Source organism: Homo sapiens, chromosome 13 (genome assembly GCF_000001405.40).
Source record: "Homo sapiens chromosome 13, GRCh38.p14 Primary Assembly".
NCBI classification, from domain to species: Eukaryota; Metazoa; Chordata; class Mammalia; order Primates; family Hominidae; genus Homo; species Homo sapiens.
In genome coordinates, this window is record NC_000013.11 from 30,396,053 (window position 1) to 30,409,908 (window position 13,856).

The 13,856-nt window shown below is 45.4% G+C and overlaps 1 annotated feature.

Annotated features, from left to right (window-relative positions):
* Window positions 12,448–12,587: a silencer, noted in NCBI's record as "silent region_5230". NCBI's record gives its function as "represses an Ori minimal core promoter by ATAC-STARR-seq in GM12878 lymphoblastoid cells {active_cell/tissue: GM12878}" and the evidence as "EXISTENCE:reporter gene assay evidence [ECO:0000049][PMID:35858748]".

Sequence of the window (13,856 nt, forward strand, 5' to 3'; positions counted from 1 at the left end):
AAACAGATCCAGTCTCCTTTTCAAATAAAGATTTAGGATTGATGTTAGAGAAAAAAACAGATCCAGTCTCCTTTTCAAATAAAGATTTAGGATTGATGTTAGAGAAAAAAACAGATCCAGTCTCCTTTTCAAATAAAGATTTAGGATTGACGTTACCTTTTACTATTTCCCCTTCTCCCTTCCTAAAAAGTCTTCAAGATATGCTCTTATCTACCTATAAAGAATTTACACTAAAAATGACGTTTTTAAATTTAAAATTTAAATGGCACGTTCATTTTGCGATTTTTTTCCCTTAGATTTCTACAACATTAATAGTTAAATTTTTATTGTCCACATACCCTGTAAAAGAGACATCAGAAGGATTCATCTTTTTGTAGGTGAGAAGAGCTGGATGTTCCCTTCAGGTTAGGATGTATGCGTGCATATATATATGCAAATATATGCAGATTTACCCCAGGAGGGCTTTTCCACGACCAAGAAGGTGACATCTTTACCATGCATGTTTTAATACTTTCCCCACCCCAATGCTGAAGAAGCCCTGCTATAATTTGCTTTCTTCTGCCTCTAAGGGTGATGACTCAACTACAGAGGCAAGATCAGGGAGGAACAATAGCTTTGGTTATCTCTAATGAGCGATCCAATAACCATCAAACCAGTGAGTTCTCTCAGCCCAAGGCTGGCGCCTCTGTGTGGAACCGCAAAGGGCACTTTTCTTTCTTTCTTTTTTTTTTTTTTTTAACTTTTATTTTAGGTTCAGGGGTACATGTGCAGGTTTGTTACACCGGCAAACTCATGTCACAGGGGTTTGTTGTACAGATTATTTCGTCATGCAGGTACTAAGCCTAGGACCAATTAAACATTAACTCTCCATTTTCCATTCCCCTACCCGCTGGTAACCACCATTCTGCTGTTGTCTCTAGACACTCATATAACTAGAGTCACATAGTATTTGTCCTTATGTGACTGACTTATTTCACTTAACATAATGTCTTAAAGATTCATCCATGTTGAAGCATATGTCAGAATATCCTTCCTTTTTTAAGGCTGGATAATATTCCATTGTATGTATACCACATTTTATCTATTCATCCATCCATGGACACTCGGGTTGCTTCTATCTTTTGGCCATTGTGAAGGATGCTGCTGTGAACCTGGGTATACAATTATCTGCATGAGTTCCTTTCAATTATTTCCTTTCAATTCCTTTCAATAGAAGTCATGCTTTCAGTTACTTTGGATAAATATCCAAAAGTAGGATTGGTGGATATATGGTAATTCTGTTTAATTTTTTCGAGGACCCACCGTACCGCTTTCCATAGAGGCTGTGCCATTTGTTTTTTCTAGAGATGGGTCTCCCTTTGTAGCTCAGGCTGGAGTGCAGCGGTGAAATCAAAGCTCACTGTCACCTCGAACTCCTGGGCTCAAGGAATCCACCCACCTCAGCCTCTCCCCGAGTAGCTGGGGCTACAGGTGTATGCCATCATACTTGGCAAAAAAATAAAAAATAATTTGTAGAGATGGATCTCACCATCTTGCCTAGGCTGGTCTGAAACTCCTGGGCTCAAGCAATCCCACCTGAGACTCCCAAAGTGCTGGGATTATAGGCATGAGCCACCACGTCTGGCTGAGGCTGTGCCATTCTGACCCTGTTGGTGGTTCAGGTCTTTGTAAGAGGTGAGCTTGAAAAAGACATAAATTTTATTCTTTGATTTTCTAAAGACTCACTAATGCTGGACATGGTACCTTGTTTCTGCCTTAGGCTCTCCTTCTACAGAGGGAAGATGGCCGTTACTATCTCTCTCAGGAAAACAAGGAACTATGGCAAGTGTTGTTGAGATAGGCTGGGAGAAATTTAGTTCAAAATATGGTATATGGCCGGGCGTGGTGGCTCACGCCTATAATCCCAGCACTTTGGGAAGCCGAGGCAGACTGATCACCTGAGGTCAGGAGTTCGAGACCAGCCTGGCCAACATAGTGAAACACCATCTCTACTAAAAATAAAAAAATAAAAAAAAAAATAGCCGGGTGTGGTGGTGCACACCGTAGTCCCAGCTACTTGGGAGGCTGAGGCAGGAGAATCACTTGAACCCGGGAGGCGGAGGTTGCAGTGAGCTGAGATTGCACCACTGCACTCCAGCCTGGGTGACAAAGTGAGACTCCGTCTCAAAAAAAAAAAAAAATACAGTATACCCTCATCCTAAGTTTTGGGGTCAGAGACTGTGCTGTCCCTTCCTCCATCATGAACTGTGCCCCTCTTTCCAATGCATAGGTCAAGGTTAGGGATGGCCATAGGGCCACTTTTGGGGGCCTAAGTTCTGATATCTGCATTGCTCACCAGACATGTATGTCAAGGACCTTCTCTGAGACAATGCTGCTTTTATAAAATACCATCCTTAGCCAGCAGACATATCTTGCCTGCATTTCTGACTTCTGTTTCAGCTCACCATCTTCCTTTTCCTTTGGTGTGGGCTACACGTCTAGAGGGAAGAGAAGCCATTGAATGTCTGTCAAAATCCAGCCAAGATTTCACTAAGAATATGCTAGCTGTATCCTTTCTCTCAGTCTCCCCCTTCCTGACCTCCTGGCCAGCGCTGACTCAGGATAGCAGAGGCTCTGCCAATTTCAGGGCACGCTTTTGCTCTCTGTTCAGTCACAGACCCACGTTAGGCCCTGTCAAAGCAGGAGAGGCCCTACACCTCTCTCATGAGGCACATAAGCAGTATTGGCATGCTGTTCTTTGGAAGGTTCCCCACAACTGTCCCTCGGCCCTCTGGCACTTTGGACAGGCTGGCCTTTTGGGCATTACCTGCCAGAGTCTCCGGAGTGTCCTCTGAGACTGGCTATGGGGAAACAGGGAAGGGGAAGGTGCTGGCGCTCATGCTGGAATAGTGCAATGTTTTGATCAAAGTTCACAGAGTGATCACTCCAGAGTAGCTGTGCTGTGTTTTTAGTCATGCTGACAGCAGCGAAGTGGCCTCTACACAAAGCCTTCTCTTGGTGCAGGATCAGAAACAGGGCTGGAGGGGGAGAACTCCTCGGTGCCGACTTACAAGGTCCCTAAGAAACAAGATCCCACCCGTATCTCCCAACAAAGGTTCAACTCTTGTTTCTGAAGCATGTGCTGCTAAATTAATTAGTCCTTAGTGGCCAGGAGAGAAGGGCCCTTGGTCATTGTAGCCATGCGGGTAATGCCCCACTGTCCCCACTCTCCCAGCCCCATCAGAGTAATACCCTACTACCCCCACTCTCCCAGCCCCATCAGGCCCCAGGGCTTGGCCTCTTGGAGGTGACTTACCCCTCTGGAGTGAGGCTCCATGAGGGCAGGGCCCCCTCTCTCTTAATCACTCTTGCATCCCTGACACCTGCAATCGTGCCCTGCAGAGAAAACATTCAATCAATATTTGTGGAATGAGTGAATCCATCACTGCAATTTTCTGTCCTGGGCTGGAGAATGGGCTTGCCTTCTCTTTAGAAGACAGTAACTGATGGCCTCGATGGAAAAGAGACAGATTCTCTCTATGTTGCCCAGGCTGGTCTTGAACTCCTGGGCTCAAGTGATCCTCCCACATTGGTCTCCCAAAGTGTTGGGATTACAGGCATGAGCCACCACGCCTGGCCTCACCTATTAAGAAACAGATTTTGCAGTAGGTTATGGGAAATTCTAGATGGAGTATTAGCACAGGAGCTGGGCTTGATGGGATATGAAGGAAAAAGGTCCCAGGAAGCATGATAGGAGAAAATGAGACAGCAAGTTTCAGATGTTCTCTGCCTTGATTTTATGACAACATACAATAGAATAGGGCATGTTACAAGAAACCATAAAGAATATTCCAAACGTTTTTTTTCTTTTGAGACGGAGTTTTCACTCTTGTTGCCCAGGGTGGCTTACAGTGGTGTGATCTTGGCTCACTGCAACCTCCGCCTCCAGAGTTCAAGTGATTCTCCTGCCTCAGCCTCCTGAGTAGCTGGGATGACAGGTGCACACCACTACGCCCAGCTAATTTTTTTGTATTTTTAGTAGAGATGGGGTGTCACCATGTTGACCAGGCTGGTCTCAAACTCCTGATCTCAGGTGATCTGCCCACCTCAGCCTCCCAAAGTGCTGGGATTACAGGCGTGAGCCACCACGCCCGGTCAAGAATATTTCACACTTATATAAAGCATGTACTAAATAACTCTAAGTAAATAGGATCCATAACTTGTTAGCTTGAATGCAAGGTAAAAATAAAATACAAATAAATAAAACAAAATAAATAAACAGGGTATTTTGAGTTGCTAGAAAAGAAAGAAAACCCTCATTTGGAAAAACCACAGGCCTCCTTGGAAGAAGTTAAGCTGGTGGTTAGGATGGGATCAAATTGTTGTCTTTATTAACAGCTGACAGTTGCTGTGAGTAAAACTCTGATCAACCCATAAACCCAAAAGCAGATCAGATGTGGGAGAGTTCTCCTTCAGCTTTCCAGCAAACTTGTCTCCTGCTTCAACCAAGTCAGACCTGGGCTGAGCCTGCAATGAAGAGCCTCAGGTCAGAGTCCAAAAAGTCATTAGGAAAAACATATGAATGGTAAAGCCACAAATAAAGATACCACCTAACTTCTCTACCTAGTGCCTCATGTAATTGTCAGGCTACAGGAAAGAGCGCTTACTTAACTCTGCGCTTGGCACTTGACAAATGTTTATTGGCTACCATTATTATTGTCATTATTGTTATACTGATGTGCCACAGATATAGCCATTAACTTTCCAAGTCCCAAATTAGAAACCTCTGGTGTAAAATTTGTTGGGTGCAGTGGCTCATGCCTGTAATCCCAACACTTTGGGAGGCTGAGGTGGGTGGATCACAAGGTCAAGAGATGGAGACCATCCTGGTTAACATGGTGAAACCCTGTCTCTACTAAAAATACAAACATTAGCCAGGCATGGTGGCGGGCGCCTGTAGTCCTAGCTACTCAGGAGGCTGAGGCAGGAGAATCACTTGAATCCAGGAGGCGGAGGTTGCAGTGAGCCAAGATCGTGCCACAGAGCGAGACTCGGTCTCAAAAAAAAAAAAAGTGTACATATACTCAGAGAACAAGATAGGCTACTTTGATCCAAGACTATCTAGAAAATTTCAGGCTGTGTGTAGCCCTTTTCATGGGCTCACTGTTGACAACCACTCCAGCCTAGTTGTGAAACTTACCCAAGTTCGTGTATTTTTGAGGGTACACAGGGTAGTGGTTCATCCAGCAAATCTAAATCCCAGTTGTTGCATTCAATTCAATTCAAACCACACATTGAGTACCTAAATGTAAAATATTGAGCAGGGTGCTCCGAGGAATAGAAAAATGAAAAAGATGGCCCTGTCACTCAGACGCTCAAATCGTCAAGTCGTGGGGAGGCTACCAGGCACAGGTACACAAATAACTCTAATTCAAGGCAGACAGCCCCAAGTGACACACAGAAGTATAAAAAGAAAATGCACTGGGAATGTGATGGCCTGAGGGATTAATTCCTGCAGGGGACAGGGGAGGAAATGGGAAGGGCTGCCCTCATGCTGAGTGCTGGGACTGGGGGAGATCAGCTTCATGATTAGTTACTGACAGCACCTGACCTACCGGGCTTTGGGGGGCAGTTTAAAGTATTTACACTTCATTTGGGCCCAGAAAGAAAATGAGTGCTCTCCATCCAAAACTGGAGGATAAAACTCCACAGCTAGAGAGCTTGGCTGAGGTCTCAAAGAGACGGGCCGAAACCCAGGCAAGAGAAGGATCGTGGCCTGAGCTTAGGTCCGCACGCTGCCCACGTTTCTATTCATCTCCGCAATTACAGACCTTTCAGGCGCCTTTCTCCACACTGCAAATGGACCTGTCCTTGAACAAACTAATTAATGCTAATGTGTTAGGAGAGGTTAATAGATTGTAGGCCTGCAAGCCCCTCGAGGCAGATACTTGGATTTGATGGTAGAATTTCATTGCACGGAGTGGTGAGAGACTCGTTTTAAGCAGTTTCCGTTCTCATCTCATATGAAGGAGGCCATCTCCTTTGCTTGCATGCAGAGCTGTCTCCGAGTGGGAAATTCTCCCCAGCATGGCTGTGTCCTATGCAGCCACTAGCATAAAAGCATTCCTCCACCCCTTTAAAAGGCAGGCAAGCTGGGCACAGTGGCCTGTGCCTGCAGTCCCTGCTACTCGAGAGGCTGAGACAGAAGAATCATTTGACTGCCCGAGTTTGAGAACTGCCTGCGCAACATGGTAAGACCCTTGTCTCCACAAAAAAAAAAAAAAAAAACAGTCAGGCATACAATGTTGTTGGGGCACAGAGGTAGCCATGAGAAAATCTACAAATGAAAGACCCCACACAGTGGGCCTAGCCCTACTCATGATCCCACTTCTTCAACGTAAGAGACTAGCACCTTTCTCCACTACAGTCATGGCCAAGTTTAACTAATGAGTTGGGAGCTACTTGGGGGCCCTTTTGACACCACCAGAGCCGACAGAGATGCTCACAGCACTGAAATATGGAGAGTTTGAAGAATGTAGGACAAACCAGGAGAGCGATAATGGCCATGGGACAGGGTAGCTGGCTTCAGAAGTAGATTTGGAGCATTTTCAGCTCAGCTTGTTCCAGGCCTTCAATATTCACCAAGTAATCTGACTTGAGTTGTTTCCCAAATAGGCTCCTCTACCAGAAAGAATTATTCATTCATTGAACAAATATATTGATCCCCTACTATCAGCCAGAATGATTGAATATAGTTTAGTGGGAGGGGTAGATAAAACCATGCTGGGAGGCCTCCGTGTGGTCCGTACTGCATTTGAGGGAAGCCCAGGGTGTGAAGGGCCGTGGCACAGACATCCCATCCAGAAGGTGGGTGGGGAACACTGCTCCTGGGAGATGACTGAATATTGAAGGAAGAATATATTAATATTATAATTCAAGAGATGAAGTGAAAGAAGGCATCCCAGAATAATGGATCCATATGGATGAAAGATTTGGAGGGGTCTCCTGCCTTAAATGATGACATTGAATTTCCTCTGTGTCTTGAAGGTTTGGCTGCATGAGTTGGTTATCATCCCAGGACCACCTCATCCATCCTAGAACCACTAAATCTCAAACTTGCAGGCTAGAAGTAGGAAACCAATCCTTGGAAGTCCAAAATGTAGCCATGACTTGCCTTTGACCCCATCTGGAGTAAAGAGGTGCAGGCTGCCTGGTATAGCTGCAGAATAGGGAGTGGCCAGTGCTTGGGCCAGAAAGGAAGGCGAGGACCAATTACAAAAGGCCCCCTAGGCCATGCCGGCAAGTTGCCACAGGTCTCCTAAGCACAGATGTGTCTGTTTAGCAACTTGTTCATTATCAACTTGATGCAGGAGGGCCATGTTTAAGCCTAAATAGACATTGTTGAAAGTGGTGATTTGCCAACCATTCTTGACCCCCACACTTATAGAATAGTGAATCGGGAGGCAGTTGGGGGAGGATACTAGTACTAAAACCCCCTAGAAATGATAGATGGCTGCCCCTCACCTCATCAGCTTTCATCTAAATTAATGGAAAATGGCTTCTCACTCCCATTGTCTCTTAAAATGACGCGTTGGCTCCCTTATGTACCTAAGGTTGGAATCCCAGATGGGGAGGTGATATATCTCAGGTCGTGTTCAAGGGAGGAACTTGCTTCTCAAGTCTCAACTCCAAGATAAACATGCTGTTACTGCCATGCACTTAGCTTCCAAAAACACAGCCATGAGGAAAATGCTTCATGCAATGTGACGCCGGAGGTATAATTAAACTTCAAAAGGGTATCAATTGCATCATGTTCAGGAAAAATGTAGAAAAATAAAAGCGGTACTGAAAGAAACCCTAAAACACCCCACCACCTACATTTATCTTTGGGAGAAGGAAAATAAACTGAGGTGATCTCCTGGGGCACCAGATTTGCTCAAGTAGGGCTTCCGTTAACGTTGCACTGGAAAAGGGAGTTTCTTGTGTGTCTTTTCCAAATCTAATCTTTACGAAAAGACACATTCCAAGATTTTAGTTACCATCATGCCTCTGGAGCAAAAGAGGTAACAGTTGTGAAAATAGTTTGAACCATTTAAAAATCAAACTATGTAATAATCACATGCTAATATGATTAATGTTTTATTTTAGATCATGTTTGTTGGGAAAAGGTCAAGAGCAAGGGCTCTAGAGACAGATGGCTTGTTTCAGATTCCCGCAGTCTTTTCTGCTTCCTGACCTTAGATCAATAAAATACCTAAACTCTTGGAGCCTCAGTTTCACTGGCTGTAAAATAGAGGAGTTGTGGCAAGGCTGAAATGAGTCATTCCACAGAAAATTTGGGACTCATTGGCACACACTCAATAGCCAATAAATATTAACTCTGTTGCGATGATTCCCCTGGAGAGCCAGGGTTTCAGACTCTGTCTGGAACACACCAGTTTGCTTTGCAAAGACAAACTCTGTCCCTTGGCTAAACTTTCTGCCCCTCACTTTGGCTAACACCTTCGAAAGGCATGTTTTTAAGGGTCCTCGTGAGAGGGTACAGACGAATCAACTAGTAAAAAATCAAGAAAGTCAGTGGCACCTTGTCCATATATGAAAGGTAGCACTTGTACTATGAAATTATATGGATTTTAAAGGAAGAGTCATGCCAGAGGAGTCTCAATTTTAAAGCTATTTAAATAAAGCTGTGTCAAGCAGAGAAACGACAGATATTACCATTCAAAATTCCAGAAAGCACACTTTGCCAAAACTCCAGGTTACTAAAGATGAAATTGATATTATCTTTCTAAAGACAGAAATCCCAGGGAAAATGAACAAACACACCAAAAATAAAAAAATTTTTTTAAGCCTGCTTCTTTTATGCCTGTTGCCTGTCTGTAGCTGTCCAGGCTTGTTTAACATTTAAATGCTGTTTTAAAAAAAAAAAAAAAAAAGCCAAATCAGGTTTCATAAACTGATCTGTGTGGCTTCTAAAACAATAACCCTTCAGTTTAAGAGTTTGCAGCTTGGATCCTGATCTTAAATTCTGCCACTCTAAATTATTATAATCTAGGCCAGGCGCGGTGGCTCATGCCTGTAATCCCAGCACTTTGAGAGGCTGAGATGGGCGGATCACAAAGTTAGGAGTTCGAGACCAGCCTGACCAACATGGTGAAACCCCATTTCTACTAAAAATAGGAAAATTAACCGGGCATAGTGGTGCATACCTGTAATCCTAGCTACTCAGGAGGCTGAGGCAGGAGAATCGCTTGAACCTGGGAGGTGGAGGTTGCAGTGAGCCGAGATCACACCACTGTACTCTAGCCTGGGCAACAGAGCAAGACTCCATCTCAAAAAATAAATAAATAAATAAATAAATAAATAAATAAATAAATAAAATCTTTAAAATGTAAGGGAAGGGACAGAACCTTGTCCTTAGCTTTCTCTGGGCTCTCTTGTTTGGTTGAAGTAAGACTCTATTTAATACCTTCAGAATTTGCTCTTGCCTTGAAGCAATAGACAAGTGTGTGCTGCTCTGTTCTATATATGGGAACAGTGAGTACAAATAGAAGGTTGAAGGTTTGCTTTGAAGCTCAATGTTTCCAGTGCAAAGCCTCTCCCAAACACTGGAGCAGCAGGGACATGCAGCGTGACAGCTCCCGGCTTCTAACAGCTAACATATTAATTCTAAGTAGTGTTGGACTGAAGGTCAGGAATCTGATTTTGACCTTAGCACTAATGGGAATCCTGTGGGAATCCTGAGAGTGGCTGAATAAGTGCTGTAATATCACTAATAATTAATAATGATGATAATGTCCCAGGTTTCTTATTTTAGTGCTTTTTAGCCCCCGAAGGCTTCAAATCACTTTGCAGACCAATTGTTTCACCCACTGTTGACCTGTAACCGACTCAGCCATGGAATATTGCCCTGTTGTCAAGAACACAGCCACATTTAGCTTGTTTAAGCATGAACTGAAGAAAGATACCCACTGAAAATTAAAGTGTAAATTTTAGGTAGGCAGGTTATAATTATCCACTTGAAATCAAGCCAAGAAATGGAGCTTAAAACCCTTTCTTTTGTGAAAAGCACCCAGGCAACTTTCTGGACTGTATACAGACATCGGCTTTTCATCTCCTCTAACTCAGGGTTTCTCATTCTCAGGACTGTTGGCATCTTGGGCTGAATGATTTTCCACTGTGCTGGTGGAGGGGGCTGTCCTGTGCATGGTAGGATGTTTACAGCATCCCTGGCCCCTACCCACTAGATGCCAGTAACACACACACATACACTCTCTCCCAGTGTGACAACTGAAAATGTCTCCTGACATTGCCAAATGTCTCCTGGGCGGGGCGGGGGGCAAAGTCACCGCCAGTCAAGAACTGCTGTTCTAATTCCATATGTTTTCAAAGCTGGGGTATAGGTATTAGAAGCAGCTGCCTCACCAAACCTTTTATTTCTCCAAGTTGCTTGAAAGATTCCTGGTGAAAGAGGGACATTTATCTGCCTACAGCCTTGGGCAGTCAGAGAAACTATGGTTTAGGGCTGAAATTAGCTCCTCCTTCACAAAAAAAAAAAAAAGAAAAGAAAAGAAAAGAAAAAAGCGATAACACAATTCCAGACTATCAAACACCACCAATCCTCCAAAAGTCTCTCTTCCTGACATATAACTTCCCACAAGTGGCTGCTTGAGGTTGTAACAGAATAGCACTGTGACAGCTTCAGGATCCCTGATGCCCACCTCTCAGACTTCACGGGGTCAGAGTTCCTCGCCCTTCTGGAATCTACAGCCTCTGTCAAACAGCAGATAGGTGGCTTGGATTGAAATGCCTAGAGACACCGTGATCATTCCAGCTACCACCAAATCTGACCATGATCTGTCACCAGCAGCTTCTTACTCACCCCCATTACACCCACAAACCCTCCAGGAACCTCAGCTCCAGAAGCTACCCTCACCGCCTGGCCCAGGCTGGTGCCTCCGGACACCTTCCACACCCAAGGGAGGTGGCTTGTGAACATTTTCCACCACAGCCCATTATAAGAAACATATTCTACATCACGAGCCCCCTGTCGTTCACGCATACAAAAACACATTTTTATTTTGAACTAATTTTAGACTTGCAGAAAAGTTGCAACAATAGTCCAAGAAATTTTTATATATCCCTCATCCAGCTTCCCCTACTATTAACAACTTGTGTAACCATAGTACAATTGTCATATTCAGGAAATCAACATCGGCATGATACTATCAACCAAACTGAAGACACCAGCTTTCCACTGATACCCCTTTTCAGTTCCAGGGTCCTATTCAGGACCCTGCATTGCATTCAGCTGCCTGTCTCTTTAGTCTCCTGTAGTCTGTGACTTTTTCCTCAGTCTTTCCTTGACTTTCATGACCTTGACAGTTTTGAAGAGGTGTTTTGTCGAGTGTCCCCCAATTTTGGTTTGTATGATGTTTTTTCATGATTGGACTGAGGTTATGCATTTTTTTTATTAAGAACGTCACAGAGATGATATTGTGCACCCGCCCCCCGCAATATATATCTTAAACAGAAGTTTCTGGAAACTACCTTTGCTATGTGAGATACACTCTGGCATTTTCTTTTTTTGTTGTTTTTATTTTTTTTTTTTTAGATAGGGTCTCACTCTGTCACCCAGGATGGAGTGCAGTGGTGCACTCTTGGCTCACTGCAACCTCCACCTCCCGGGTTCAAGTGATTCTCCTACCTCAGCCTCCTGAGTAGCTGGGACTATAGGCAGAAGCCACCATATCCAGCTAATTTTTGTAATTTTAGTAGAGACAGGGTTTTGCCATGTTGCCCAGGCTGGTCTCGAACTCTTGACCTCAAGCAATCTGCCCACCTCAGCCTCCCAAAGTGCTGGGATTACAGGCGTGAGCCGCCACACCAGGCCATATATATTATATATTATATATATATATATATAATATATATATAAAATATATATATATATATTACAGAAGGCCAGGCGCGGTGGCTCACGCCTGTAATCCCAGCACTTTGGGAGTCCGAGGCGGGTGGATCACGAGGTGGATCACGGGTGGCCAGAGAACAAGCTGGCCAGCCTAAGGGAACATAAAAGAAATCGAATGAGGCTTTGCTCTCTCTATTTTAGTGACCGCTGACTGCGGAGCAACGCTCTTGTGTTCTGCGGGCCCAGCAGCTCCGGGAACGGTCAGCGTCGGGGGCCAGCCTGGCGGGACATTTGGGGTCCCCCATACGTGGACCTATGCCTGTTGTAAGATGTTTGGAAGAGCGTCGAAAGATGAGATCATGTTGTGTCCTTGGAAGCTGAATGAAGAACCGGCTTGCAAAGGAGAAGCGCGTGCAGTCCCGGCGCGGCCCGCTCTGCTCAGTTCTCCAGGGCGGGCCTTGGCCTGGACTGCGTGTCGGGAGGACTCGCGGGCCCCGCATTGCCGCATGCCACCGGCAGGTGTCTCTTTCCTGGCTTGGGAACCTATTGTGAGTTCACCAAATGGAGGCGCGAGGAGGAGGGGGCGGGCAGGGGAGGGGCGCCGAGAGCCGGAGCGGGCACCGCCCCCTGCCTGCCCGCTCCCCGAGCGCACCGCGGCCCAGCCACGAGGCTGCCGGTCCTCACCTTTGAAACGCCGGCAGCTGCGCGCGCTGCGGCAGGCGCGGAGAGGAGCCACCTCGTCACGTGGGGAGGAAATGCCTTGCCGGCCTCCAAACCTACTGGCTCTTGTTTCTGGGGTTTTATGGCCAGGAGAGTGGGCTCAGCTCTCAAACCCAAGATCAAAGGACAGTGCAGGACCCATCACCCTGGGAAGTTTTCTCCCTTTCCCGTCTTTCTCCTTCTCACCTTCTCAGAAAGCGTAGCGAAAGGGGCCTGCCACCCTACTGGCTTTTCCTTTTAGGGAAATTCCATTTCCTAACGTGTCCTGTTTTGAAAGAGGCCAATTTATTGGGTAATGACGGCAGCCTGCTAGGCAGAAGTCAGGCCAGGAGCAGTCGCTTTTATTATTTTATTCAACGAATGCCTACTGATCATCTCCCGGGTGCCAGGCGCTGTCGTGGGGGTTCAGTAGTGACCAAGGACTCAGACCCTGCCTTGGCTACCCACATCACCGAAGAAATGAGTTATCAGGCGACAAGGTGACTCCTGGGGCTCAGTACTTGAAAATCCAAGACACAAGAGCGGGAAATCCTCTCTCATACCAAGAGTGCACACTTTGCCTCTGGTTAGAACAGGGGTAATGCCAGGTTTGCATTTCTTTGGACCTTTTCACTTCATTTAATAGTAACACTTGAAAACTCTTTACTGAGCGCTTACTCTGGGACTGGGACTCTGCTAGATGCAGGGAATACCGTGGAGGACAAAATTCCTTCCTGTCCTTAAGGAGCTTGCAGCCCAGCAAGGGTAGTGAGCCTGTAAACACATAAACAAGCAGAACCTAGTGTTAGGTGTCTTGACTCCACCGATTGTAGGGCACAAAAAGAACCAGGATACAGGCCCTGCGGATAGCATTGGGGTATGGGATCAGACCCAAAGCCCCATGATGCAGAGTCACATAGGAAAGCCACTATCTGGTGCTCCTGCCCTGGGAAGAACATCAGTTGTCCTCTCTCTTGGGACGAATAGAGGCATCCCAAATCGTGATCTTGGATCTGCTGTGCCTTCACTGATCCTATTCCCCTACAAATTCATTTCCCGGGAAGTTCCTAGGAACTGGTGTCAAACATCCTCATACTTTCCTTCCTTTCTCATGAAACTGTTCTAGTATCTGGCTGATATCCCCGTGTCTACCTTTACGTAGCTCAGTTTTTGTTGGGTTTTTGTTGCTGTTGTTGTTGTTTGCTTGTTTTTAATGTGCCAACATTATGTTTGGGCTTTTTTGCTTGCTTTTTGAAATAAATTT